General features: G+C 59.0%; 2 protein-coding genes and 2 non-coding genes across 7 annotated transcripts, besides 7 other annotated features; 2 read left to right on the top strand and 2 right to left on the bottom strand.

The window, feature by feature from the left end:
* Positions 4,431-5,010: a silencer, noted in NCBI's record as "silent region_9707". NCBI's record gives its function as "represses an Ori minimal core promoter by ATAC-STARR-seq in GM12878 lymphoblastoid cells {active_cell/tissue: GM12878}" and the evidence as "EXISTENCE:reporter gene assay evidence [ECO:0000049][PMID:35858748]".
* Positions 4,748-9,264, top strand: GAMT (guanidinoacetate N-methyltransferase). 2 transcript variants are annotated; one of them, NM_000156.6, is made up of 6 exons: positions 4,748-4,994; positions 6,352-6,497; positions 6,703-6,766; positions 7,095-7,162; positions 7,264-7,374; positions 8,791-9,264. In NM_000156.6, the coding sequence occupies exons 1-6, from the start codon at positions 4,814-4,816 to the stop codon at positions 8,929-8,931; spliced, it is 711 nt and encodes a 236-aa protein (NP_000147.1). In that variant the 5' UTR covers positions 4,748-4,813; the 3' UTR covers positions 8,932-9,264. The 2 variants fall into 2 exon arrangements, with proteins under 2 accessions (NP_000147.1, NP_620279.1); NM_138924.3 differs by lacking the exon at positions 8,791-9,264 and having other exon boundaries at positions 7,264-8,475.
* Positions 9,639-9,688: an enhancer, noted in NCBI's record as "active region_13612". NCBI's record gives its function as "activates an Ori minimal core promoter by ATAC-STARR-seq in GM12878 lymphoblastoid cells {active_cell/tissue: GM12878}" and the evidence as "EXISTENCE:reporter gene assay evidence [ECO:0000049][PMID:35858748]".
* Positions 9,789-9,838: an enhancer, noted in NCBI's record as "active region_13611". NCBI's record gives its function as "activates an Ori minimal core promoter by ATAC-STARR-seq in GM12878 lymphoblastoid cells {active_cell/tissue: GM12878}" and the evidence as "EXISTENCE:reporter gene assay evidence [ECO:0000049][PMID:35858748]".
* On the bottom strand, positions 10,706-22,383 carry NDUFS7 (NADH:ubiquinone oxidoreductase core subunit S7). Of its 3 annotated transcripts, none has more exons than NM_001363602.2 (8): positions 22,348-22,383; positions 18,443-18,479; positions 17,697-17,765; positions 17,352-17,457; positions 15,240-15,419; positions 15,125-15,171; positions 12,960-13,048; positions 10,706-11,872 (listed from the first exon to the last, which is right to left on the bottom strand). In NM_001363602.2, exons 1-8 carry the CDS (start codon positions 22,361-22,363, stop codon positions 11,868-11,870), a joined length of 549 nt encoding a protein of 182 aa, NP_001350531.1. In that variant the 5' UTR covers positions 22,364-22,383; the 3' UTR covers positions 10,706-11,867. The 3 variants fall into 3 exon arrangements, with proteins under 3 accessions (NP_001350531.1, NP_077718.3, XP_016882257.2); NM_024407.5 differs by having other exon boundaries at positions 10,706-10,899; XM_017026768.3 differs by lacking the exons at positions 10,706-11,872; positions 12,960-13,048; positions 15,125-15,171; positions 15,240-15,419 and having other exon boundaries at positions 16,695-17,457.
* Positions 22,254-22,313: a silencer, noted in NCBI's record as "silent region_9706". NCBI's record gives its function as "represses an Ori minimal core promoter by ATAC-STARR-seq in GM12878 lymphoblastoid cells {active_cell/tissue: GM12878}" and the evidence as "EXISTENCE:reporter gene assay evidence [ECO:0000049][PMID:35858748]".
* Positions 22,564-22,703: a silencer, noted in NCBI's record as "silent region_9705". NCBI's record gives its function as "represses an Ori minimal core promoter by ATAC-STARR-seq in GM12878 lymphoblastoid cells {active_cell/tissue: GM12878}" and the evidence as "EXISTENCE:reporter gene assay evidence [ECO:0000049][PMID:35858748]".
* TRN-GTT2-6 (tRNA-Asn (anticodon GTT) 2-6) lies at positions 22,654-22,727 on the bottom strand. Its single transcript has one exon. It is a non-coding gene; the product is annotated as a tRNA-Asn (tRNA).
* On the top strand, positions 22,856-22,928 carry TRF-GAA1-6 (tRNA-Phe (anticodon GAA) 1-6). The gene has a single exon. It is a non-coding gene; the product is annotated as a tRNA-Phe (tRNA).
* Positions 22,884-23,013: a silencer, noted in NCBI's record as "silent region_9704". NCBI's record gives its function as "represses an Ori minimal core promoter by ATAC-STARR-seq in GM12878 lymphoblastoid cells {active_cell/tissue: GM12878}" and the evidence as "EXISTENCE:reporter gene assay evidence [ECO:0000049][PMID:35858748]".
* Positions 25,353-25,853: an enhancer, noted in NCBI's record as "H3K4me1 hESC enhancer chr19:1380436-1380936 (GRCh37/hg19 assembly coordinates)". NCBI's record gives its function as "activates a minimal SCP1, AML or CMV promoter by ChIP-STARR-seq in primed H9 embryonic stem cells {active_cell/tissue: H9 hESC(primed)}" and the evidence as "EXISTENCE:reporter gene assay evidence [ECO:0000049][PMID:30033119]".

Raw genomic sequence — 26,027 nt, 5'->3', positions numbered from 1 at the left:
GAGATCGCGCCACTGCACACCAACCTGGGCAACAGAGCAAGACTCCCTCTTAGAAAAAAAAGGGCCGAGCATGGTGGCTCACTCCTGGAATCCCAGCAGTTTGGGAGGCCAAGGTGGGCGGATCACGAGGTCAGGAGATCGAGACCATCCTGGCTAACATGGTGAAACCCCGTCTCTACTAAAAGTACAAAAAATTAGCTCGGCATGGTGGCAGGCGCCTGTAGTCCCAGCTACTCAGGAGGCTGAGGCAGTAGAATTGCTTGAACCCAGGAGGCAGAGCTTGCAGTGAGCCGAGATCGTGCCACTACACTCCAGCCTGGGCGACACGGCAAGACTCTGTCTCAAAAAAAAAAAATACAAGGAACAAGATCACAGACAAATAGTACAAAACACTTTTTTTTCTTTTATTTTGAGACAGGCTCTCACTCTGTTGCCCAAGCTGGAGTGCAATGATGCAGTCATAGCTCACTGCAGCCTTGAACTCCTGGACTCCAGCTATCCTCCCTCCTCAGCCTCCCAAGTAGCTGGGACTAAAACCCCATTTAAAATAAAACTGGCCGGATGCAGTGGCTCATGCCTGTAATCCCAGCACCTTGGAAGGCTGAGATGAGAGGATCGCTTGAGCCCAGGAGTTCAAGACCAGCCTGGCCAACATGACAAAACCCCATCTCTACAAAAAATAATAATAATAATAATAATACAAAAATCAGCCAGGTTTGGTGGCACGCACCTGCAGTCCTAGCTACTTGGAGGCTGAGGCAGGAGGATGGCTGGAGCTCAGGAGTTGGAGGTTTCAGTGAGCCGACATCGCACTACTGCACTCCAGCCTGGGCCACGGAGCCAAACCCTGCCAAAAAAAAAAAAAAAATCTGGGCTCAGTGGCTCACACATGTGATCCCAGCAATTTGGGAGGCCGAGGTGGGCGGGTCACCTGAGGTCAGGAGTTCGAGACCAGCCTGGCCAACATGGCAAGACCCTGTTTCTATCAAAAACAAAACAAAACAAGACTGGAACATTTGAAATAACCACACATCCATCTATTGGTGACTGGATAAATGAACAATGAAGCAGTGGGTGGATGAAATGCACAGAATGTGGCCCAAAGAAGGAAGTCGGGCACAAGCTGATTACAAATAATATATTTTTTAAAATACAGGCCAGGCACGGTGGCTCACGCCTGTAATCCCAGCACTTTGGGAGGCCGAGGTGGGCGGGTCACCTGAGGTCAGGAGTTCGAGACCAGCCTGGCCAACATGGCGAGACCCTGTCTGTACTAAAAATACAAAAATTAGGCAGGCGTGGTGGCGGGTGCCTGTAATCCCAGCTACTCAGGGGGCTGAGGCAGGAGAGTCGCTTGAACCCGGGAGGCAGAGGTTGTAGCGAGCCGAGATCACACCATTGCACTCCAGCCTGGGCGACAGTGCAAGACTCCATCTCAAAAAAAAAAAAAAAAGCCAGGTGTGGTGGCGGATGCCTGTAATCCCAGCTACTCAGGAGGCTGGGGCAGGAGAATCGCTTGATCATGAGAGGTGCAGGTTGCAGTGAGCCGAGATCGCGCCACTGCACTCCAGCCTGGGCTACAGTGCGAGACCCCACCTCAAAAAAAAGAAAAGAAAAGAAAAAGAAAAAAAAGGAAGGAAGAAAGAACTAGAAGAGGCTACTTCTCCGCTTCTCCCTCTTCCCCATTCATTTCCTTCCTTCCACTCCAGGGCAAAGGCAGCGAGAAAAAGGCTGTGCAGATACTGATCTGAATTTACTCCCAGTGTGACTATAAACAGATCCAACACACGGTATGTAGTTTTGGTCCCCTTTTTTTCTTGTGGTAAAATATATGTGACATAAAATTTTCCATTTTAATTATTTTTGTTTTTATTTTATTTATTTATTTTGAGATGGAGTTTCTCTCTTGTTGCCCAGGCTGGAGTGCAATGGCTCGATCTCGGCTCACCACAACCTCCGCCTCCCAGGTTCAAGTAATTCTGCCTCAGCCTCCCGAATAGCCGGGACTACAGGCACGCACCACCACGCCCGGCTAATTTTGTATTTTTAGTAGAGACGGGGTTTCTCCATGTTGAGGCTGGTCTCGAACTCCTGACCTCAGGTGATCTGCCCGCCTTGGCCTCCCAAAGTGCTGGGATGACAGGCGTGAGCCGCCACGCCCGGCCCCATTTTAATTATTTGTAGGTGCACAGCTCATTGGCATTAAGCGCATTCCCATTGTTGTGCAACCATCACCGCCGTCCTCTCCAGAACCTTCTCATCTTCCCAAACTGAAACTCTGCCCCGTGAAATACTCACTCCCTGTCCCCTCCCCAGCCCCTGGCACCCCCCCCCCCCGCCATCCTACGTTCTGTCTCTGTGGATCGGAGGACTCCAGGGACCTCCTAGGAGTGGACTCACATAGGATTTGTCCTGTTGCGACTGGCTTATTTCACTGAGAGTGATGTTCTCTGCAACCTCCGCCTCCCGGGTTCAAGCGATTCTCCTGCCTCAGCCTCCTGAGTAGCTGGGATTACAGGCACCCACCACCACGCCCAGCTATTTTTGTATTTTTGTAGACATGGGGTTTCACCGTGTTGCCAGGCTGGTCTCAGGGGATCCGCCCACCTCAGCCTCCCAAAGTGCTGGGATTACACGCGTGAGCCACCGCGCCCGGCCCTGGCTAATTTTTAAAACTTTTTTTTTTTTGTAGAGACAAGGTCTCTGTGTGTGGTCTAAGCTGGTCTTAACTCTTGCACTGAAGCAATCCTTCTACCTCGGCATCCCAAAGTGGTGGGATCACAGGCCTGAGCCCCTGCACCTCCCCCAGGCACTGGGATCACAGGTGGGAGCTGCTGCACCCAGCCTATCAAGCATGTTCTGTGTGCCAGGATCACTGACAGCCCTGTGAGAGGGACGCTAGGACCATGAAGAAATACCTTCCGTTAGTGAACTACCAAAGAGAGAGAAAACAGCTTCTGGCCGGGTGGGTGCGGTGGCTCACACCTTGCAATCCCAGCACTTTAGGAGGCCGAGGCGGGTGAATCACGAGGTCAGGAGATCAAGACCATCCTGGCTAACATGGTGAAACCCCGTTTCTACTAAAAATACAAAAAAAAAAAAAAAAAAAAAAAATTAGCCGGGCTTGGTGGCGGGCGCCTGTCATCACAGCTACCCAGGAGGCTGAGGTAGGAGAATCGCTTGAACCCGGGAGGCAGAGGTTGCACTGAGCCAAAATCATGCCACTGCACTCCAACCTGAGCAACAGAGTGAGACTCTGTCTCAGAAAAACAAAAACAAACAAAACAGCTTCTGACCAGGACATGCCTGTCCTGGGGCAGAATGGGGGTGTCTCCTAGAGGACACGTGGGCTCAGCTTGAGACAGAACGAGAAAGCGGCCTGACCAGGAGAGAGGCTGTCTGGGCAAGGGGAAGAGCGTGTGCCAAGGCCCGGGGCTAAGGAGCTGTGCAAGAGGTGGCAGGGGCATGTGGAGGCGTTGAGCAGGCAGTGATGGGGCAGGCAGCTACCCAGACAAGGTGGCGCAGGGAAGGCCGCGCGCGGGAGCTGTTTCCGAGGCTGCCTGCGTTCACACCGTGGCCCTGCTGCAACCTGTGAACCTCAACCTCTCTGGGCCTCAGTTTCCCTCGTGTTAAATGGGCATAATAACTGCATCTGTTAACCCGTGCAGAACGCACGGCAGGCAGGCAGGCAGGCAGGCAGGCAGTGCTCAGGGCTCATGACTGTGGCCCCACGTTCAGAGGGGGAAGGAAACCGGCTATCAGAGCCAGGACGCCACCGCAGCGGGCTTGGGGGCCCCCAGGAAACAGGCGGGGGGTGTGCTTGACCCTAAGGGGCTACCCTGGGCTGGGGGAGGCCTAATTCCACCCCCGCACACCCCAGCTGCAGGGCCGCCGGAGGAAAGGGCACTGCTGGGATTGAGTCCTGGTCTCCAGAACTGGAGGCGTCTTTGGGCGGAATCCCCCATTAGGGACCCGGGGTCTCAGATGACCCCCAGCCTATGGGGGTGTGACATGGGCTCATGAAAGGGGGGCATCAGAGCTCTAATGCTGGGTCCCCACCCTCGTGGCCACCAGACCACCGGCTTTGCTTCTCAAAGCCTCAGTTTCCACATCTGTAAAATGACAGTCGGCTGCTCTATGGAGTAGCCATTCATTTTTATTCCTTAATAAACTTGCTTTCAAAAAAGAAAGGAAGGAAGGAAGGAAGGAAAAACGACAGTCATCATAGAACCTGGCGGGCGCGGTGGCTCACGCCTGTAATCCCAACACTTTGGGAGGCTGAAGCGGGAGGATCGCTTGCGCCCAGGAGTTTGAGACCAACCTGGGCAACATAGCAAGACCCCGTCTCTATTAAAAAAAGACAGAACTCACTGTAGCATCTTCTGAAGATTAAATGATTTTAAACACTTAAAGCACTTCCAACAGCGCCTGGAAGATCCTCAGATTCTCACACCCCAGCGAGGAGGGGGCCTTTCTGCGGTGCTGACAGATGAGGAATCTATGGCGCGTAAGCGGCAAGGCGGGGATTCCAGTCCCCAGCCTGCAGGTTCGCGTCCCCGGGCGCGGGGCTGCGGTGCCCGCTCCGCAGAGGGGGCACCGAGGCTCCTTGGGGAGGGGGCGGCCGGGGCCCCGACCCCACTCCCGCCACCTCTCGCGTGGCCGCCGCTAGAGGCCGCTCCCGGAGCCGCGCGCGCGCGTCCTCTCGCGGGTCCGCCCCCCGGGCCTGTTGGACCCGCCCCCGGCCCACAAGCCCCTGCAGGGAGCGGGCCCGGGCGGCGCGCGATCGAGGTCGGGTCGCCGTCCAGCCTGCAGCATGAGCGCCCCCAGCGCGACCCCCATCTTCGCGCCCGGCGAGAACTGCAGCCCCGCGTGGGGGGCGGCGCCCGCGGCCTACGACGCAGCGGACACGCACCTGCGCATCCTGGGCAAGCCGGTGATGGAGCGCTGGGAGACCCCCTATATGCACGCGCTGGCCGCCGCCGCCTCCTCCAAAGGTAGCCCCCGCCCGGCCTGCACCGCCCCCGGGGGCGCAGGGGAAACTGAGGCCGGGGCTGCCCCGACCCGGGGACTCTGCAGCCCACCCTCCCGCCGGGGCGCCTCTGTCTCCTCGCCTGGGAAGTGGGGCTGCAGGTGGGGGCACACGGAGGCGTTCACGGGGAGTGCGGCAGGCGTGGGGCCCGCACACGTTAGGCACCGCCTAAGTACCAGAAACTTCCTCTCCAGGGGGAGTGAGGCCCCCCGCTCTCCAGATGGGGACCTCAAACGTGAGACCTGGGTGAAACTGGGTGGAACCGGGTCCCCAGCTCCCTGTCTGAGGTCGGGAGGAAGGGGTCGTGCCAGGGAGAGGCTGCCCTTCTGCCTGCCTGGGAGAGCAGCCCCGACTCGCCCGGCTAAGAATAGCACTCGGAAAGCTGAGCTCAGGGAGACAGCTGTCCCCGGGGTGGCCCTGGCCTGCCTGGCGTCAGACGCTAAGGGCTGCTAAGAAAGGACTCCCTGGCCCCACACAGGCCCCGTCCAGGGGTCGGGCCTCAGTGTTCCCACCCTGAAAATGGGCACGTCCAGTGTCCAGTGCCAATCAGGATTGAGCGGGGGGCCCATGTGTGGCCCACTGGGGACCAGTCCTTCCCCTCCCAGATAGTCTCAAGTCCAGGTCTTGCCTGGCCACTCTTGCAAATCCAACTTTCGGATAGAGGGAGGGGGAGAGAAAAGTAACTAACCCGAGAGATAAGGGACCCGGGACAAACAGCGTGGGCTGGGCTCAAAGTCCAAGGCTCTCGCCTCCCCACAGGCCTGGCCCCAAAAGCGGCCGTCTTCGGCCTCCCTGGCTGGTCATCCTCTCTCTGGCCGCTGGCCAGGGCCCACGCTGTTCCCGCTCAGGACTACTGTGTTCCGCCCGCCTCTGTCCATGCTGGCCCAGGGTGCCCTCCCGTCCTGTGGCAAATGTGACTCACATAGCCTAGTTCAGCCCTGCACCCCCTCCTCCAAGCAGACCCCCAGCTCAGCCCTGCCCTACCCTGTGCCCCCTCCTCCAGGAAGCCTCCCCAGCCCTGCTCTGCACCCCCTCTTCCAGACAGCCTCCCCAGCCCTGCATCCCCTCCTCCTGGCAGCCTCTCCAGCCCTGCCCCGCACCCCCTCCTCCAGGCAGCCTCCCCAGCATTGCCCCACACCCCCTCCTCCAGGCAGCCTCTCCAGCCCTGCTCTGCACGCCCCCCTCCAGGCAGACCCCCAGCCCAGCCCTGCGCCCCCTCCTCCAGGCAGTCTCCCCAGCCCTGCCCTGCCCTGTGCCCCTCCTCCAGGCAGCCTCCTAAGCCCGCCCCACCTAGTGATGCCAGGCGCCCTGTGTCTGCCCAGGGGGCCGGGTCCTGGAGGTGGGCTTTGGCATGGCCATCGCAGCGTCAAAGGTGCAGGAGGCGCCCATTGATGAGCATTGGATCATCGAGTGCAATGACGGCGTCTTCCAGCGGCTCCGGGACTGGGCCCCACGGCAGACACACAAGGTGCCCCTCTGCCCGCAGGCCCTCCAGGACCCCCACTCCTTGGGGTGAGGGCACTGCTTCCTGGGGGTTGGGGGCCTGGGGCTGTCAGAGGTGGAGGAGGTGGTCTTCTCTCTCGGGAGTCCCCCTGGCCGCTCCCTTTCTGCAGGTGGGGAGATCCTGGGGACCTCTCTACCCTGTCCTCTCTTTTTCTTTTCCCCTCTGCAAGGTCATCCCCTTGAAAGGCCTGTGGGAGGATGTGGCACCCACCCTGCCTGACGGTCACTTTGATGGTGAGGGGTGAGGGGACGTATCACAGGGTGGGCCTCCCCAGCTCCAATGCAGCCCCTCCTTTGCTTGTGGGGGTCCCTCTGATGTGCACTGGGGGGACAGAGCCCAAGTGGGTGTGGGCCTGGCTGTGGGATGGCGGAGCACCGGGGATGGGCATGCTCACGGAGGGGCCCTGGAGGCGATCTCGGGGTTCTCAAGCCTGTGTGGGAGCCCCACCTCTACCCACGGCCCCGTCTCACTGCACCTCCACCCGCTGGGGGATGAGCCGGGTGAGGCTGGGTGAGGCGCTGAGCCCGGCCCTGACCGCGTGGGCTTCTGTTCTCCGTGCAGGGATCCTGTACGACACGTACCCACTCTCGGAGGAGACCTGGCACACACACCAGTTCAACTTCATCAAGGTGGTTCTCTCTGACTTGCTGGGATGCGGGAGGCCCTCGGGGAAGCCCCTCTGCCCACACCCCCACCTCCGTCCTGACCACTGGCCACTCCCCTTCCACAGAACCACGCCTTTCGCCTGCTGAAGCCGGGGGGCGTCCTCACCTACTGCAACCTCACCTCCTGGGGGGAGCTGATGAAGTCCAAGTACTCAGACATCACCATCATGTTTGAGGTGCGCCCACCTGAAGTTCCCCATGGGTCTCCAGGAAGTGACCTTGGATGGGGGTGGGAAGGGGCTGCTGGAGCCACCTTGCTACCTGGGGAGGGTCCCTTCCTGACCCCCTGGGTGGGCTGGACTGTGCTGGTTCATTTAGAAATCAAAGTCCTTTGCCTGGCGCAGTGGCTGCCAGGAGCAGTGGCTCAGGTCTATAATCCCAGCACTGTGGAAGGCCGAGGTGGGCAGATTGCTTGAGCCTAGGAGTTCAAGACCAGCCTGGGCTACAGAGCAAGACCTCATCTTTCCTAAAAAAAAAAAATACAAAAAACTAGCTGGGCGTGGTGGCGTGTGCCTGTACTCCCAGCTACTTGGGAGGCTGAGGTAGGAGGATTGCTTGGGCCCCAGGGGCAGAGGTTGCAGTGAGCCCAGATCGAACCACTGCACTCCAGCCTGGGTAACAGAGCCAGACCCTGTCTCAAGAAAAAAGAAAGAAAGAAAGAAAGAAAGAAAATTTAAAAAAAAAATGGAAATCAGGCTGGGCGTGGTGGCTCACACCTGTGATCCCGGCACTTCGGAAGGCCAAGGCGGGTGGATCACTTGAGCCCAGGAGTTTGAGCCTAGCCTGGCCAACATGGCAGAATCCCATCTCTACTAAAAATACAAAAGTTAGCCAGGCGTGGTGGCGGGCGCCTGTAATTCCAGCTACTCGGGAGGCTGAGGCATGAGAATCACTTGAACATGGGAGGCGGAGGTTGCTGTGAGCCGAGATTGCACCGTTGTACTCCAGCCTGGGCAACAGACCGAGACTCCATCTCAACAAAACAAAAACAAAAAAAATGGAAATCAAAGTCCCTCACCAGCTCAACAACCTCCCATGGCTCCCCAGTGCCCTGTGGTTCAGCCTAAGCCCTGCGTGTTCCCCTCCCTCCAGCTGCCTCCACCTGGCTGTCTTTGCTGGTTCAGCAGTGCTTGTCTCGCTGTTCCCTCTGCCTGGTGGAGGCGGCCTATCTGAGAAGGGCTCTATGTGGTTGCCCTGGGCTGCTGTTGTGAGAGCCGGCTGGGTGCCTGTGGCCCCTGGGGCAGCTTTTCTTCCAAAATGGGAACTAGTGGCCTGTGTTCTTTTTCTGGTGTGATTCTTTGGCTCCACCCGCCACACTGGCAAGGTCTGGAGAACTGTGGAGTAGGTGCCCGGGGGTGGCTCGAGTGTGGGGCTGGGGTTCCAGGACAGCCGGGAAGCTGCTGCCCGCACTGGGGAGCTGGAGATTCCCGTTCACACCTGGGCTTCCAGGGCTGCCCTGCCACGTGCCCACGGGAGCTGCAGCCGCCCACCCGGGCCTTGCCATCTGTAAACACTCTTCAATGAGGGGTGGGCGCCAGGGTGCACGTGACCCCCATGGCCCTCAGAGGTGACCTGGTGCCATCCCCGACCAGGAGACGCAGGTGCCCGCGCTGCTGGAGGCCGGCTTCCGGAGGGAGAACATCCGTACGGAGGTGATGGCGCTGGTCCCACCGGCCGACTGCCGCTACTACGCCTTCCCACAGATGATCACGCCCCTGGTGACCAAAGGCTGAGCCCCCACCCCGGCCCGGCCACACCCATGCCCTCCTCCGTGCCTTCCTGGCCGGGAGTCCAGGGTGTCGCACCAGCCCTGGGCTGATCCCAGCTGTGTGTCACCAGAAGCTTTCCCGGCTTCTCTGTGAGGGGTCCCACCAGCCCAGGGCTGATCCCAGCTGTGTGTCACCAGCAGCTTTCCCAGCTTCTCTGTGAGGGTCACTGCTGCCCACTGCAGGGTCCCTGAGGTGAAGTAAACGCCGGCGCTGGGCTTGGCCAGTCGGCAGTGAGCGTGCGACTGTTACTTCCAGCGGCTGCTCCCTCACCTCCCGCCCATCCCATGGACACAGGAAAAGTGGGTGACTCCCCTCCAGGTTTCTGAGCGGCCCCAGGATCCGCCCCGCCCCCCCCACTGTCTTGCCCATAGCAGACATCTCCAGCTGATGCCCGATGTCCCTTCCTCAGATGAAAGCCACCTGACCCTTTGCAGTGGGGTCAGGGAAGGGGGTAACTAGGTCAGGGTCTCAGGGGGTGGCAGCACCACGGCCGGGGTGTGGGTGGGACAAGGATCTTTGCCCACCCCAGGCAGGAACCCACTTCTCTGCCCGCCCCAGCACACCCTGAGCTCCCCTCCTCCCGCCCCAGGAGGGGCGTGGCTGCTGACAGCCCCGTTCCCCAAGCCTCCCATTTCCAGATGTGGTTTCCTCTCAGGAGGCATCGCCCCTGCTGGGCCCATTGCAGGGGCAGCCCCACCTGCCCAGCCCCAGGAACATCCCGGGTCCTGCCTGTCTGTGCCCTTGTGCCCAGCTGGTCACCCCATGCCTCCCACTTTGCCCCCTGCATCCACATGTGTGCAGCCCGCCCATCTTCCTGGGGCCGTCCTGCTCGCCCCCTCCACTGACCTCCTTGCCCTGAGAGAAGGCCGGCTCCTGTGCTCTGCACTCTGGCCCAGGGCTGCTGTTCCGCTGGCTGACGCCCTGTCCCCACCCCAGCATGTCCTGCTTCCAGGCTGCTTGACCCGGCTGGGCTGGGTGCCTCTTCCCCACCCCCGCCCCAGTCTCCCGGGCCCCATCCCAGCCTGGCCCGTCATAACTGCCGATCCCCAGAACTGTCCCTGGTGTGCAGCAGGCATGCAGGGTGGGCCTGCAGAGCGAGGTCCCAGCACCGGCGGCATCTGGCGCTGAACACAGGAAGATGGGACGTTTGCTGAATGAATGCACGTCCCTGATGAGGCCTGGACTTCGACGGATGAAGGGGCTGGTGGGGTGGAGTCAGGGTTCCCCGAAAGCCCTGGGTGGAGAGGGTCCCCAAAGTGGGGTCAGACAGCCTGTGAGGCTCACAGTCCTGCCCTGCAGCCCTTTGGTTTGGACCAGGTGCCACCTCCCCATCTCCCTGGCCCCAGCCCTCAGCTAACCAGCCCATGCCACCGCCTGGAAATGGGCCAGAGGGCAGTGGCGACCTGCCCAAGTCCACACGCAGGCCACAGGCCACACTCTGAACCCCGGGGCAGGCTCAGACGGGCTTTGCTCAGCCTGCCTTAGGGCATAGAGGGAGACTGAGTCAGGGCCCTCCCAGGAAGGATGGGTGTGCGGCCTTCCACGCTCGGGACTTTGGGCCACGATGTCCACCCCAGGGTCTTCGCAGAGCAGCGGGAAAGGACCCTGCTGGCAGGCACAGTGCCCGTCTCTGCCCCCGGCTCTGCTCCAACCGCCCCCAGCCCAAGGGCGGCACGCCGCAGGGGGTCTGTGATCCCCCCACGTCCCCGGCTCCTTTCACCCACACACCACACTGGGAGGCGGCAGCCCGAGGGCAGGTTTATTGACAACCTCACGGGACACAAGCAGGCTGGGGACAGGACGGCGACAGGCTCCGGCGGCGGCGGCGGCGGCGCTACCTGCGGTACCAGATCTGCAGCCTCCGCTCCCGCTTGATCTTCCTCTGCAGCTGCAGGATGCCGTAGAGCAGGGCCTCGGCCGTAGGTGGGCAGCCTGCAGGGACCTTGCCTCAGTCTCGCTTCCCGCAGCCGGAGCCCGCGTGACCGCGTGCACAGCGCAGCCGGCTCGGCTTTGGAAGGGTTTCCCGGGCCGGCCTCTGAAGGTGGAGGCTGACAGCCCTGGGTGGGCGCAGTGCCAGGGACTGGGAGCCGGCGCAGGGGAGGTCCCTGCAGGAAGAGTGGGGTCCTCCCCTGGGCAAGGCCCCACTGCCCTCCACCCGTGGCTCATCCCGGGCTGTCACAGGGACCTCTCGGACAAGACGCTGACCTCACTAACCCGGCCCCCGGCCCCAGCCCTCAGGACTCAATGGGGGCCAGCGCTCAGCAGACACACTTAGCAGTGGGGAGCAGGGCCCGGGGCTGCCCTGGACGGAGATGGAGGCAGGGAGGCTGGGCGGAGGGAGGGGAGGTGGCCCAGAGCCCGGGCATCCCACGAGGACCCGATGACCCTCTTTCTGAGCCCCAAGCCAGAGCTCTTTGCTGGGGATCCCCCAGTCCCGGCTGCCACGCAGGTTCAGAACAAAGGGCTTGAGCAAGAGGACGAAGCCCAGGGCCCAACGGGGACAGCAGGAGTGGAAACAGGTGAGAAAGGACAAGGCCACTGCAGGGCCTGGGAAAGGGCGGCCAGGCCCCACCTGGCAGAGCTCTGGCAAGTCCAGGCTGCTCCAAGGGAGGGAGAAGCACAGTCCGCAGGGAGGGAGCAGCACAGTCCGCAGGGAGGGAGGGAGGAGCGAGGTCCCCAGGGAGGGAGGAGCGCGGTCCGCTGGGAGGGAGGGGCGCGGTCCCCAGGGAGGGCCGAGCGCGGTCCGCAGGGAGGGAGGAGCGCGGTCCCCAGGGAGGGAGGAGCGCGGTCCGCAGGGAGGGAGGGAGGAGCACGGTCCCCAAGGAGGGAGGAGCGCAGTCCCCAGACAGGGAGCACAGTCCGCAGGGAGGGAGGAGCGCGGTCCCCAGGGAGGGAGGAGCTCAGTCTGCAAGGAGGGAGGAGTACAGTCCACACTCGCAACTTGCCCCATTGGTCTGCACTGCAGGGGAAGACGCCAGGGGCATGGGCAGAGCTCCTGACCCCAGGATGGACCTCTCTGTGCTGTCAAGTCACAGGGAGGCCCAGGCTGCCCTCTCCACTGCCCCCGGGGTGACCTGAACCGTGCAGAACGCTGAACAAATCAACGCCCTTTCCAGGGAAGCGGAATCCAAAGTCAGAGCCTGTTCCTCCACTTTTGAGAGGCACCAGGATGTGCCTCTCGCTTGCCCAAACCCCCAGACTCGGGACTCAGGGCTGGGCTCTCTGCGCATGAGCTAATGCCGCACGCAGCACAGGGTGGCCAAGAACAGGACTCTGTCCCCTGTCCCACATGAGCGCCACCTCCAAGCCTGCCTACCGTGGACCACTGTCAAGGTGAACGCCCGGGGGGATGGCCCTCGTGGGACCACGTGAGGTGCAAGAGTCCCACGGGATCACCAGATATAAAGAATGTTCCCGGTGCGATGTGAATTTCAGGTATGCAGCCAATGCTCTTTTTAGTGTCAGTATAGCCCAAATATTGTTGGGATATACTCGTACTAAACAATTACTACTAACAGTTTTCCTGATGGTCAAATTCACCCTAACCTCACAGTCAAACTAAGCCTCCCACGTTTTCATTTGCCAAATCCGGCCACCCCGGGTCCCAGGGAGTCCTGCGTGCCCTTCTGTAAGGCTGAGGGCGCGGGACAGTGTCCTTGGCCCCCAGGAACCTTCTCGCTTGGTATTTCTAACTGCAGGTCTTTGGTTTGTGCCAGGTAGGACCATATGAAACTGCTGTAAACCAGGCGTGTGTCAGGAATTCCACTCAGCTTCCCCTGCTCCCTCTGATCCCTCTGATGCCTGAATACATCGCCGACTTCTCACAGGGGACAGGCTCCACTAAGAGGCAGCGCTCCGAGTCGGCCCATCCATAGGATGGGGGAGCCCGCCGTCTGCTGGGGGTGTGGGACTCCCTCACAGGGGCCGCCGGGCTCCGTGTGGCGCTGGCCCTGTCTCCAGCTCCCTCGTGGGCGGTGCGGTCCCGGCCCTACCTGGGATGTAGATGTCCACGGGCACGATGCGGTCGCAGCCCCTCACCACCGAGTAGGAATAGTGGTAGTAGCCTCCTCCGTTGGCGCAGCTGTTGGGGAGGCACCGTGAGGGGAGTGTGCCGAAGACCCGCCTGCCCACCCTCCCTCCACGAGGCCTCGCCCCATCCCCACCCGCCTTCAACTGCAGGCCAGGCACCTACGAGGCTGGAACTTGTCACGGAGAAGCAATGAGCAAACACGCACAGGCTCCCAGAGCCTCTGTGGGACCAGTGGGGCGCAAGCTCACACGTGGCTGATAACTCGGGGAAAAGTGCTCCCCTCCCGAGGGGGCTCCTGACCACCGATTCCCGGGGCTGGGATGTGTCAGATCACATGTGTCAACAAAAAGCCACTTCAGACAGCCACAGTGCCAACACCCAGCCCCTGTCTATGGGGCGGCTGAGCCTCACCCTCGCCTGATTCCGGCTCTGTCAGTGAGGCGCTGGGGTCCACCCGGGGCAGGGAGCTGGAAACCCCAGGAGACCACACAGACTCCACTCCCAGCACTGCTTCCCACAGCCGTAAAAATGGACATACCCTGAATGCCCAGCAGTGGGAGACGGTTATGAAAACTCTGGAATATTCTAATTAACTGTTTAGAATTAGATTAGTAATATGTCCACACAGTGGGATATTATTCAGCCAAGAAAAGGCACGAGGCTCGGACACAGGCCACAGCACGGATGCACCTTGAGGACGTCGCGCTCAGTGAGAGACGCCGGACACAGAAGGCCATGCGGCGTGTGATCCTGTTTCTGTGAAATGTCCAGGACGGGCCCATCCACAGAGACAGGGAGGGGAGGTGTGGGCACCGGGGCTCGGAAGGGGATGCAGAGTGACTGCTGATGGGGACAGCATTTCATTTGGGGGTGATGAGAATGTTCTGGAATTAGAGGTGGTGGCCTAAAAACCACTGAACTGCTCGCTTTAAAAGGGTAAACTTATCAAGACCTGATCTCTACAGAAATTTTAAAAAGTAGGCACAGTGGAGTACATCTGTAATCCCAGCACTCTGAGAGGCTAAGGTTGGGGGACCGCTTGAGCCCAGGAGGTCAAGGCTGCAGTGAGCTATGACTGCACCACTGCACTCCAGCCTGGGCAACTCAGTGAGACTCTGTCTCTAAAAAATAAAAATAATAAATATTGGCCAGGCATGGTGGCTCATGCCTGTAATCCCAGAACTTTGGGAGGCTGAGGTGGGTGGATCACGAGATCAGGAGATCGAGACCATCCTAGCCAACATGGTGAAACCTCTTCTTTACTAAAAATACAAAAATTGGCCAGGTGTGGTGGCAGGTGCCTGTAATCCCAGCTACTCGGGAGGCTGAGGCAGGAGAATCGCTTGAACCTGGGAGGCGGAGGTTGTAGTGGGCTGAGATCGTGCCACTGCACTCCAGCCTGGGCGACAGAGCTAGACTCCATCTTTAAGTAAATAAATAAATATTTTAAAATGTTAAGAGACTAAATACCTTTCAATGTTACGGGGAAATGACTAAAAAATGAGGGCAAGGCCAGGCGTGGTGGCTTATGCCTATAATCCCAGCACTTTGGGAGGCCGAGGCAGGCGGATCACCTGAGGGAGTTCAAGACCAGCCTGGCCAACATGGTAAAACCCCGTCTCTACTAAAAATACAAAAATTAGCTGGGTGTGGTGGTGCATGCCTGTAATCCCAGCTACTTGGGAGGCTGAGGCAGGAAAATTGCTTGAACCTGGGAGGCGGAGGTTGCAGTGAGCCGAGATGGTTCCACCGCACTCCAGCCTGGGTTGACAGAGCAAGACTCTGTCTCAAAAAAAAAAAAAAAAAGAAAAAAAACTAATGGCAAGTGAGAAGGCTGAGATTATAAAACTATCTACAGCACCTGTCATCACTTATGTGTGAGTAAAGCAGAGAACTGGGCGGAATGTGGGGTCTGCTGCGTGGGGGTGGATGGGAGGAATCGTTCTGGGGAGAGGCCCACCAGCGCATCTGCCTAGGGTGGAGGCACCGAGACGGCTGAAGGGCAGCGCCGGGACCACGTGGGATTTCACTGAATGTAGATGACACTTTTGATAAGCGCCATCAGGGCACGGCCAGGCCAGCACTCACGCTACGTCTGTCCCTGGAGACCCCCCGCCCTGCACTCACCTCCCCATGGAGACCACGTAGCGCGGCTCCGGCATCTGGTCGTAGACCTGGAAGAGAGGCGGGGTCCGTGCGCAGCTCACTCTGGGGGCGGCTGGGCGGCTGGGACGAGGCCTACCTTGCGAAGCGCTGGGGCCATCTTGTTGGTGAGTGTGCCGGCCACGATCATGACGTCGGACTGGCGCGGGCTGGCGCGGAAGACCACGCCAAAGCGGTCCATGTCGTAGCGGGGTGCTGCCATGTGCATCATCTCCACGGCGCAGCAGGCCAGGCCGAAGGTCATGGGCCACAGAGAACTCTGCGGAGGCCGGGCTCGGGTCAGACGCCACCCCCGGAGCCCCGCGTGGCCCAGCGTGAGACTCCACGTGGAGCACCCAGAACCCCCGACTCATGTCCCGGGGCGGCAGCCGGCAGAGGTGAGAGGCACAGCGGCTCCTGCAGGTGGCCTCCGGGCCCCAAGAGTTGTAAAGCGCGCCCCACCAGCCACATTCAAATACATAAAATAGAGAGAAACGGGTGAGATCTGTCCTCATCACATAGTTCCTCGAACCCAGTGTATCCTAAGTCCCACCATTTCAACAGGGGGCTCCAGCCACTCTCTGAGCGCGTGGGCTACAGGCGAGTAGTAGCGCAGGTCTAACCGGGAACTCTCTGCGTTAACTAGATCTGGGTCCACATACCAAGTGCGACGCCTCCAGGAAGCCCTCTCAGATCTCCTTGGCCACTCCCTCCCCTCTCCTCCATCCCTGTGGCTTCTCATTTCCCCCACCGTTCCCGCTCTCCCTGCACGCGGCTCTGAGACCTGGCAGGGGCCCTGCTGCATGTGTTGGCGGGTGACAGGGTCAGGCTACAGAGTGAGGCAGGGCTGCCCGGGCAGAAATGGCCAGGTCCACCTGCCCGCCAGAAGCCTGTGTTGGGACGGCCGCTGGCCATGTCTCAGGTTCCCTCCATTAGAAACTATCCTGCATTAGCCGGGCGTGGTGGCTCACGCCTGTAATCCCAGCACTTTGGGAGGCCGAGGTGGGCGGATCACGAGGTCAGGAGATCGAGACCATCCTGGCCAACACGGTGAAACCCCATCTCTACTAAAAATAAAAATACAAAAAATTAGCCGGGCGTGGTGGCGGGCACCTGTAGTCCCAGCTACTTAGGAGGCTGAGGCAGGAGAACCCGGCAAGCGGAGCATGCAGTGAGCCGAGATCGCACCACTGCACTCCAGCCTGGGCGACAGAGCGAGCCTCCGTCTCAAAAAAAAAAAAAAGAAAAGAAAAGAAAAAGAAAAGAACTATCCTGCATTAAAAACTATCCTTGTCTCGACCACTGCGGCCCTGGCAGGACGTTCGCCGTGGCATTGTTTAGGAAACAAAAAACAAAAGGAAACAGTGAACGTCCATCAATGGGGGATTGTTGAACCCGGGCTGTCGCAGCAAGTGCCGCAGGAGCTGGAGGGAGCTGCACGTGCTCACGCTGCAGGGGGATGGCAGGGGCTGCGTGGGGGCTGGCGCCACAGGCAGGGGAGGCTTTAAACGGGTACCGAGAAGGATCTACTGCCTTCACACGCGCTCCTTTTAACTTAAAACACTGCTTTCACCTTAAAAGAGAAACAAGAGGAACACACGGACGCCAGAAAGAGAATGACGGAAACGGAGGGGTCATCTCCAGCAGGGTCCGAATCCTCAGATGGAACCACAGGCCACCAGGCCAGCACAGGGGCCTCCGGGAGGGTCCGCCCTGCTCCACGGCCGCAGGGGTGTGTGTGCATCAGTGAGTGTGCCTGTGTGCATGCATGCCAACAGGCACACATGCATGTGTCCACACAAGGACGTGTGTGCATGTGTGTGAGTGTGCATGTGTGTGCATGACTGTGCATATATGTGCACGTGTGTGCGAGTGTGCGTGTGCATGTGTATATGTGCGCATGAGTGTGCATGAGTGCAAGTGTGCATGTGTGTATGTGTGCAAGCGTGTGTGCACATGTGCTTGTGTGTGCATGTGTGTGCAAGTGTGCATGTGTGCGAGTGTGCATATGTGCATTGTGTGCGTGAGTGTGCGTGTGGTCCGTGTACACATCTGTCCATACATGTGAGCTTGCATGCACATGTGCGCATGTGAGTGTGCATGCATGTGTTGTGTGTGTACGTGTCTGCACGTTGGTGTGTGTATGTGTGTGCCTGTGAGTGTGCAGAGAGGCCCTGGCGCTCGAGGAGGGCCTACAGCTCATAGTACTCACCCGGCGGGCCCAGTTGACGAGGTCATCCAGCTTGGCCACCACATACTCGCCCCGGCTGCTGGGTTTGGGAGCCACGGCTCTGGCCTTTGGCAGGGCAGGCTGGGTGCTGGCACAGAGACACACGGGCACAGGAGGCGTCAGCCACGCAGGTGCTTCCCAGAGGCGGATGCGAGCCCCCACGGCCGCTGCCAGAGGCCTGGACCCACATGAGGTCAGGGACTGGGATGTGTGACCCCCTCCCTGCCCCATCCATGCACCTCAGTGGCTGCGGCACTGATGCAGAAAATAAGGAAGGGATGGGGGTGGGGCGAGGGGGTACGACCTCCCCCAGAAGGCCAGCTTCACCTGCTTGGGCCATCGGTGGCCACGCTCTGATGGACACCTCGTGCCTGCACAGCCGGGCCCACGCTGGAGCTGCCGGGAGATGGAACGCGGGTCAGTGGCTGTCCCAGGCCCCTCCAGCTCCCCCAGCCGCACTCACTGTTGTCCTGCCTCTCCCCTCCCTGCTGCGAGACTGTTCTCACCTCTGCCTGTCAACACTTGGGCCACTGGCCAGAGCCGCTGGAGCCATGCGGCCATCGCCCCGACCCCCAATGATGGCCCAGACTTGAATGGAACTTCTTTTGTGACGTACCCAGCAGGTCAACAGTGTCCAAGCAAGGACGGTCCCAGGATCATCCACAGAAGGAAACTGGCAGCAGGCCCTCCACACATGACCAAGGTAAGATCCCTGGGCATGCGCCCTCACCGCCCTGTCAGTCACCTGGGTCTGCAGGAGGCCTGCCCCAGCTGCCATCTGCACAGGGCTCAGAGAATGCCTTCCCACCCCAGGTGGCGGTGAGCTCTGACGGCACTGAGCCGGGCCCACAGGGTTTTCCTCCTGACTGTCCAGCCTTTGCCACTGCGTGGACTGTCCCAGGGAGGGTCCCGGCACATCACGGGCAGCGTGCAGACCGTCACCTGCATCCTGTCCCTAACATGACACGTGACCTTCAACAAGGCGCTCCCCCCACCCCCCACCCCCCCCGCCCCGTTCGTCTGTCGCTGCTGAAGGCCCCTCCCAGCTGAGGGCTGGAGACTCAGGCACTCACCGCAGACCAAGGATCCGGAAGCCGCGCAGGCCAGGAGCTGCAGAGAGGACCACGGGGTGGGAACAGTGAGCTGCGGGCAGCACGCAGGGCCGGCCTCCAGGCGCTTCCCCATCAGGCTCCTGCCCGCACAGCCTAGCTCTGATCCCAACTCGAGTGCCACTTAACAAACGTTAGGTAACGAGGGGGTTTTCAGAACACGAGAGAGTCTTAGTCCCCTGCTTGAGACTGCATGGCCCCGGAAGGAACCCAAACGCTGCCCCGTCTCCCCGCCCTGGCGATCTTCACTGGCACCTGCCGCTTTCCTGCGCCAGGGCCCCCGCACTGGCTGCTGCCCTGTGGGGGACACCCCGCCTCACACTTGCACACTGGCTGCTGCCCTGCGGGGGACACCCCGCCTCACACTTGCACACTGCTGGCCCCTTCTCATGAGGCAGGTTTCAGTTCAGATACCCGGGGCGTCCCGCCTACACCAGGACCCCAGGTCCTCCGGTTGCCGGCACCCGGTTCTATCTCCATCTATGCGTGCTTGTGGGGTGCCTGCCACTCCAGCAATGCTGGGGCCTCCCTGGGCACCCAGTGCTCGTCCTGGCCTCAGCTGTGCCTGACAAGCGTGTGCTGGGTGCTCCAGGCCCTGGCTGCTGCTCGGGCGTTTCCCACGCAGCTGAGCACAGGCCCCATCCTGCAGGAATCTGCAGTCCGCTAAGCGGGGAGGGCGCTGCCCACGTCAATCTACACAGAAAAGCACCCCTAGAGGAGCCAGCCTCAAAGGAAGCGCAGAGGAGGGAACGCGCCTGCACGAAGTCTCCTGGGAGAGCCTTCCCGAGGCGAAGACTAAGGCCAGAGCAGGGCCTTGCCACGCCCGGGGCACTCAGCGGGAGGAAACCTGGAGGTGCCAGGAATCCTGGCTCACAAGGAAGAATCCAGAAAGGCAGGCTTGGTGCTGGTGACGGCTGAACTGTGACCCTCCACCCGACCTGCATCTGAAGCCCTAACCCCAGGACCTCAGAATGTGACTGCTTTTGGAGATGGGGTCTTTAAAGGGATCATTAATGCCTGGGCGTGGTGGCTCATGCCTGTAATTCCAGCACTTCAGGAGGCCGAGGCAGGTGGATCACCTGAGGTCAGGAGTTCGAGACCAGCCTGGGCAACATGGTGAAACCCCGTCTCTACTAAAAATACAAAAATTAGCTGGGTGTAGTAGCAGGTACCTGTAATCCCAGCTACTCGAGAGGCTGAGGCAGGAGAATCACTTGAACCCGGGAGGTAGAGGTTGCAGTGAGCAGAGGCTGCGCCACTGCACTCCAGCTTGGGTGACAGAGGGAGACTCCATCTCAAAAAATAAAATAAAGGGTCATTATAAAGGACAGTGAGGTCACGAGGGTGGGCCCTCATCCGATATGACTTATGTCCTTGTAAGAAAAGGCGATCAGGACACAAACATGTACAGAGGAAAGACGCAGGGAGAAGATGGCCACGGGCAAGCCAAGGACAGAGGCCTCAGCAGGAACCAACCCTGCTGACCCCCAATCTTGGCCTTCCAGCCCCCAGAACTGTGAGAACAATCAGCTTCTGTTGAAGCTGCCCAGGTGATGGTACTTTGTCGCTGTGGGTGAGGTGAGGCCCGATGGAGAGGCTGTGGGCAGCCTCCAGGGGCCAGGGCCAGGGTTTGATGCCCCTGAATGCAGCGATCCATGGGGCCTTCTCCTGCCTCTGAGCCCCTCCCTCACCCCAGCCTTAGCCTCATCCGGGGTTGCTGTTTCCCATGGCCCCGTCCAGGCCACAACTCTCTGAAGGACACAAGCCTGTGACCTACTTCTTGGCATGCCTGAGGCTGGGCACAGCAGACAGGCTAACTGCCCAGCCCCAGGCTCTGGTGGGAGCTGCCCCACTCCAGGTGTCAGTTTCCCAAGCTGAAAATGCAGGACTTTGGATGAGCTCCTAGCAGAGGAGATACTCTTCTGAGAACCTCTGAGGTGATGGGATTCTGTGCCTCTGGGTCAGGGTTTTTGTTGTTGTTGTTGTTGTTTTGAGACGGAGTTTCGCTCTTGTCACCCAGGCTGGAGTGCAACGGCACAATCTTGGCTCACTGCAACCTCCACCTCCCAGGTTCAAGCTATTCTCCTGCCTCAGCCTCCCGAGTAGCTGGGATTACAGGCGCCTGCTACCACGCTCAGCTAATTTTGCATTTTTTAGTAGAGACAGGGTTTCTCCATGTTGATCAGGCTGGTCTTGAACTCCCGAACTCAGGGGATCCGCCCACCTCGGCCTCCCAAAGTGCTGGGATTACAGGCCTGAGCCACCACGCCCAGCTGGTTTGTTTTTGTTTTTGTTTTTGAGACGGAGTTTCACTCTTGTTGCCCAGGATGGAGTGCAATGGTGCAATCTTAGCTCACTGCAACCTCCGCCTCCCGGGTTCAAGCGATTCTCTTGCCCCAGCCCCCCAGTAGCTGCGATTACAGGCATGCGCCACCACACCCAGCTGATTTTGTATTTTTAGTAGAGACGGGGTTTCTCCATGTTGGCCAGGCTGGTCTCGAACTCCGGACCTCAGGTGATCCGCCCACCTTGGCCTTCCAAAGTGCTGGGATTACAGGCGTGAGCCACCGCGCGTGGGCCAGGCATTCTTAACAAGGGGCCTGGTGAGGATTCAGAACTGTGAATTTGCTTGGAATAAAAAAATATATATGTCTTTGTTGTCACCAGCATCTTATGGAAAATTAGCCCTTCATTCAATTCTTAGCGTAGGCTGGGTGCCGTGGCTCCCAGCACTTTGGGAGGCTCAGGTGGGAGGATTGCTTGAACTCAGAAGTTCGAGACCAGCCTGGGCAACAGGGCAAGACCCCCATCTCTACTAAAAATACAAAAACTAGCCAGGCATGGTGGCGCACACCTGTGGTCCCAGCTACACAGGACACTGAAGTGCCAGAATCGCTTGAGCCTGGGAGGCACAGGTTGCAGTGATGAGCCAAGATGGCACCACTGCACTCCAGTCTGAGCGACAGAGGCAGACCCTGTCTTAATAAATAAATAAAAAATTCTTAGCATAGACAACAAAATACGGCAGTATTAGCAGGACCTGTAACTTTTCACCAAGCGGAATCACAGATGTTTCCTAGCTATGGTGCAGGGGCTGCAGACGTTTCCGTATCATCAAAGCCTCATTTCCACTCCTCACTCCTTCCAAATCACAGTCGCAATTAGACCTGCCGCTAGATCGCGTTCATAAGGGAAGCACTTAGATTACTAAGTCGCCAATCAGGTTTCAAGACAATCTTTTAATAACTGCCTCTCCGTGTAACTGATTTCCTTGCAATTCTATGGATTTTATTCCATGCATTTAATAACTTTATCTGAGCAGAGGTCCGCAGGCTTCAGCTGATCCCAAAAAAGTCCCTGGAGCAGGACAGGCTCTGCGAGAGGCCCTTACCTCCCAGGGGTGGGGAGGGAGGTGGAGGGTCCAGCAGGGTGGCGTGGATGTCCTGGGTCCTGTTCCTTCCCAGGCCCGGCCCTGTGACCTCGAAGACCCTCAATGGGCCTCAGTTTCCCAGCCTGTCAGGCAGGCCCCGCTCTCTCCAGGGCATCTCAAGAGCAGCCTCGCGGGCCGTGCCCTGGTCTCGGGGACGTGAATGGGGCCCCTCCAGCCTCCACCCCGAGCGCCTTCCTGAGGCTGGAGGCTTGCGTCATGACCTACCGGGCCTCGGTTTCCCCGACTGTACTCTGGACGCAATAACGGCGACCGTTCATCGCAAGCCGGGCGGGGAGCCCGAGGAGCGGCCGGCTCGGAGAAGCCCGGAGAGGACCGCGGCCACGACGCCGGCACCGACCCCCGACGCCACCACGACACCCGAGGCTCCCACGGCCCCAGACCCGCGCGGCCCCACACCCGCCGCCGGTGCCGCGCTCACCTGACAGCACCGCCATCTTGGCCTCGGCCTTCAGACAACCTCTGAGGTCCGTTCTCCTTAGCGCTCCGGGTTCCCGGGGCCGCCGCCCAAAGCGGCTCGGAGCGCATGCGGAAACCGGAACCTGGAGCCGGGAGGTTCCGCTGCGCTTTCGGCCTCCGTGGTCGTGTTGCGCCGTGCACCCCCAGATCACCCGAGGCGGAAAGGTCATCGGAGTGCGCACGTGGGGGCCGCGGGTCTGCGGCGGACCGACAAAAACAGAGGCGACACTCATTTTCTTGTTATTCCAGGAGGGCAAAAGTCACCACGCGTCCCTGGGTGGGCTCGAACCACCAACCTTTCGGTTAACAGCCGAACGCGCTAACCGATTGCGCCACAGAGACGACACTGCGCTCCGGCGCCCTGGGAGACCTTACAAAGGATGTGGGGCCTGCTGACGCGAAACGACTGCGCCTGCGCAGGGAAGGCGCAGCGCGGGACGGAGTCCCGGCGAGAGCGACTCTGCCGCCCAGCCGAAATAGCTCAGTTGGGAGAGCGTTAGACTGAAGATCTAAAGGTCCCTGGTTCGATCCCGGGTTTCGGCAGAAGTTTTAGCGCCTCTTGCGATCACTGATGTCTTTCGTTCAGGATTGGTCCAGCTGCCTCGCAGCTATCCCGGACCCCTTACCGCAACATCACCGCATTCTGCAGAGGAGTCGCCGCGATGTGGACTCATCCCAAAGTAAGGGGGCTCAGACCTCACAACCCCAAAGCCTCCTCTTCCCACCCCTAAGAGGTCATAATTTCAGCTCAAACTTCCCCCTTCCCTGACACACCCTCGATTTTCCATCTTGCTTAAATTGATAAGTTTACAACCAGTACTAATGATATAAAAACTAACACTAAACACCCAAACTAGCAAAACAGAGTTTGCAGAACGCTTTCTGCATGCATATCATTTAATTTTCACAATTCCACTGGAGGTTTTGTCTGCCTGTTTTATGATTACAAAAACAGAGGCAAAGGCCGGTGCGGTGGTTCACGCCTGTAATCCCAGCACTTTGGGAGGCTGAGGCAGGCAAATCACCTGAGGTCAGGAGTTCAAAACCAACCTGGCCAATATGGTGAAACCCTGTATCTAAATCCCAGCTACTCGGGAGGCTGAGGCAAGAGAATCACTTGAATCCGGGAAGCGGAGGTTGCAATGAGCTGAGATCGTGCCACCGCACTCCAGCCTGGGCGACAGAGTGAGACTCCATCTCAAAAAAAAAAAAAAAAGAAAAAAGAAAAAGAAAAAGTAAAGAAAACAGAGGCTCAAATTAGGTGAACACAGGTGACTAGCAAGACTGGGGGCCCCTTGAGGACCACAACAAGTGTTTACTGAATTCGTGCCATGGGCTGGGGACCCACTGCTGAGCAAAGCCAGGCCTGGTCTCTGTTCTTGGGCAGCTCAAAAGGATTGGAGGGGCCCAGCATGGTGGCTCACACCTGCAATCCCAGCACTTTAGGAAGCCGAGGCAGGAGGATCACTTGAAGCCAGGAGCTTGAGACCAGTCTGGGCAACATAGCAAGACCCCATCTCTACAATACATAATAATAATAAAGACTTGGGGGAAAAGCTGACAAGAACCTAAGAGGCTGGCAGGTGCACAAAACCCTCTTCCTTCTCTAGTTCTCATAGCTGCCCGTGCTGTAGGGTTTTGGTTTTATTTTTATTTATTTATTTTTTGAGATGGAGTCTTGCTCTGTCACCCAGGCTGGAGTACAGTGGCAAGATCTCAGCTCACTGCAGCCTCCACCTCCCTGGATCAAGTGATTCTCCTGCCTCAGCCTCCTGAGTAGCTGGGATTACATGCACACACTACGATGCCCGGCTAGTTTTTGTATTTTGAATAGAGACAGGGTTTGTTGGCCAGGCTGGTCTCGAACTCCTGACCTCAGGTGATCTGCCCACCTCGGCCTCCCAGAGTGCTGGGATTCAGGAGTGAGGCACCACGCCTGGCCATGGTTTTGGTCTTAAATTTATATCAATATTTTTAGAATAATTTAGAGTTGTGAGTACCCCATGCCCAGTTCATGAGTGTGATACATTTGTCACATGATACATTATTACTGACCAAAATCTACACTCTATCCAAGTTTCCTGGGTTTCCTCTAATGCCCTTTCCTGGCCTAGGGCTCCATCCAGGACCCTACGTGGCATCAGGCGTGGTGTTTCCTCAGCTCCTGGGACCGTGGCCGTTTCTCAGGCATTCCTGTTTCTGATGCCTGCACAGTTCTGAGGCAGGACTTACTGTGGAACATTGCTCATTAGGGATTTTGCTTGTGGATTTTTTTTTTTTAAATACAGTCAGGGACAGCAGAGTGCCTCCCCTGTCCCCGGCGTGCCATGCTGGGATCATGTGTCAGCTGCCCTGGACTCTTCCCGGGAGGAACAATGAAGCCAGCCCAAGGATTTCTGCTGGCTCTTAGCCCTAGTGGTGGTGGGGGATGGGGTGGGGACTGCAGCTGAGTTCAGTGGGAGCCAAGGGGGATGGTCCTCTGGCCGCTGGGATGACAGGGCTCCTGGGCTTGCGTTTGCTGTTCAGGCTCTTGCCTTCCTATGGGGTCTTTTTTCTTTTTTTGAGACGGAGTCTCGCTCTGTCCCCCAGGCTGGAGTGCAATGGCACAATCTCAGCTCACTGCAACCTCTGCCTCCTGGGTTTAAGCAATTGTCCTGCTTCAGCCTCCTGAGTAGCTGAGATTACACGCATCCACCACCACACCCGGCTAATTTTTGTATTTTTAGTAGAGATGGGGTTTCACCATGTTGGCCAGGCTGGGCTCAAACTTCTGACCTCAGGTGATCTGCCCACCTTGGCCTCCCAGAGTTCTGGGATTACAGGTGTGAGCCACCAAGCCCAGCCCCTATAGGGTCTTCACGTTCAACCGGGGCTGCTCTGTGTGACCAACAGAATGGCGGTGATATTCATGGGCGGCTGCTGTGGCTCCTGGGCTGCTGCCCCCAGCGAGGCTCCTCAGACCCCCAGCCCCGTTGGAGCCTTCTGATGATGTGGCCCCAACCAGCATGTGGACTGCAGCCCCACGAGCCACCCTAGAAGCCCCTGGCCGGGCTGCCCTTAGATCCCGGCCCCACAGAAACTGTGTGGAGAATGTTCCAGGCGCTGGGTTTTGGGGTGGCATTCTGCTGCAAAGGGGGCTGACTGATAGGCGGACTGGACAGAAAGGTGAGGTAGGTGGGGAGAAGAATCTGGTTCAGGAACTCCGGGCCCTGGAGGACACCCCTGAGACAGGGAACATGGAGGAGCTGGTTTCACGGGGCAGAGGCAGGACATGAGCAGAGGGCAGGCAGCAGTTCCAGAAACAGCTCAGGCCAGTGAGAGGGGAAGGACCCAGGGCGGGGTGAGAGTAGGAATTGGGGAAGGTGAGGAGGGGGCGTGAGGCTGGCACAGGGAGGGAGGCAGAGAGGCACAAGAACTCAGGCAGGCCAGCTGCAGTGGCTCTCGCCTATAATCTCAGCACTTTGGAGGCCGATGAGGATCACTTAGCCTCGGAAACACAGCAAGCACCATTTCTACAAGAAGCACAAAAATTAGCCGGGCATGGTGGTGCACACCTGTGGTCCCAGCTTCTTGGGAGGCTGAAGTGGGAGGATCGCTTGAGCCAGGGAGGTCAAGGCTGCAGTGAGCCACGTTTGCACCACT

The sequence above is a fragment of the Homo sapiens genome, chromosome 19 (assembly GCF_000001405.40).
Source record: "Homo sapiens chromosome 19, GRCh38.p14 Primary Assembly".
In the NCBI taxonomy this organism is placed as follows: Eukaryota; Metazoa; Chordata; class Mammalia; order Primates; family Hominidae; genus Homo; species Homo sapiens.
The sequence above is the reverse complement of the archived record's forward strand: the minus strand, read 5'-3'. Positions and strand labels throughout refer to the sequence as shown.

Excerpts from the sequence above, each read along its gene's own strand:
- GAMT (NM_138924.3), top strand. The coding sequence starts at position 4,814 with ATGAGCGCCCCCAGCGCGACCCCCATCTTCGCGCCCGGCGAGAACTGC. Across the intron at positions 4,995-6,351 it reads CGCCGCCGCCTCCTCCAAAG|GGGGCCGGGTCCTGGAGGTG; the intron begins GTAGCCCCCGCC and ends GTGTCTGCCCAG. Across the intron at positions 6,498-6,702 it reads CCCCACGGCAGACACACAAG|GTCATCCCCTTGAAAGGCCT; the intron begins GTGCCCCTCTGC and ends CCCCTCTGCAAG.
- NDUFS7 (XM_017026768.3), bottom strand. Across the intron at positions 17,766-18,442 it reads TTCCGGATCCTTGGTCTGCG|CTCCAGCGTGGGCCCGGCTG; the intron begins GTGAGTGCCTGA and ends ATCTCCCGGCAG. Across the intron at positions 17,458-17,696 it reads GCCACCGATGGCCCAAGCAG|CACCCAGCCTGCCCTGCCAA; the intron begins GTGAAGCTGGCC and ends TCTCTGTGCCAG.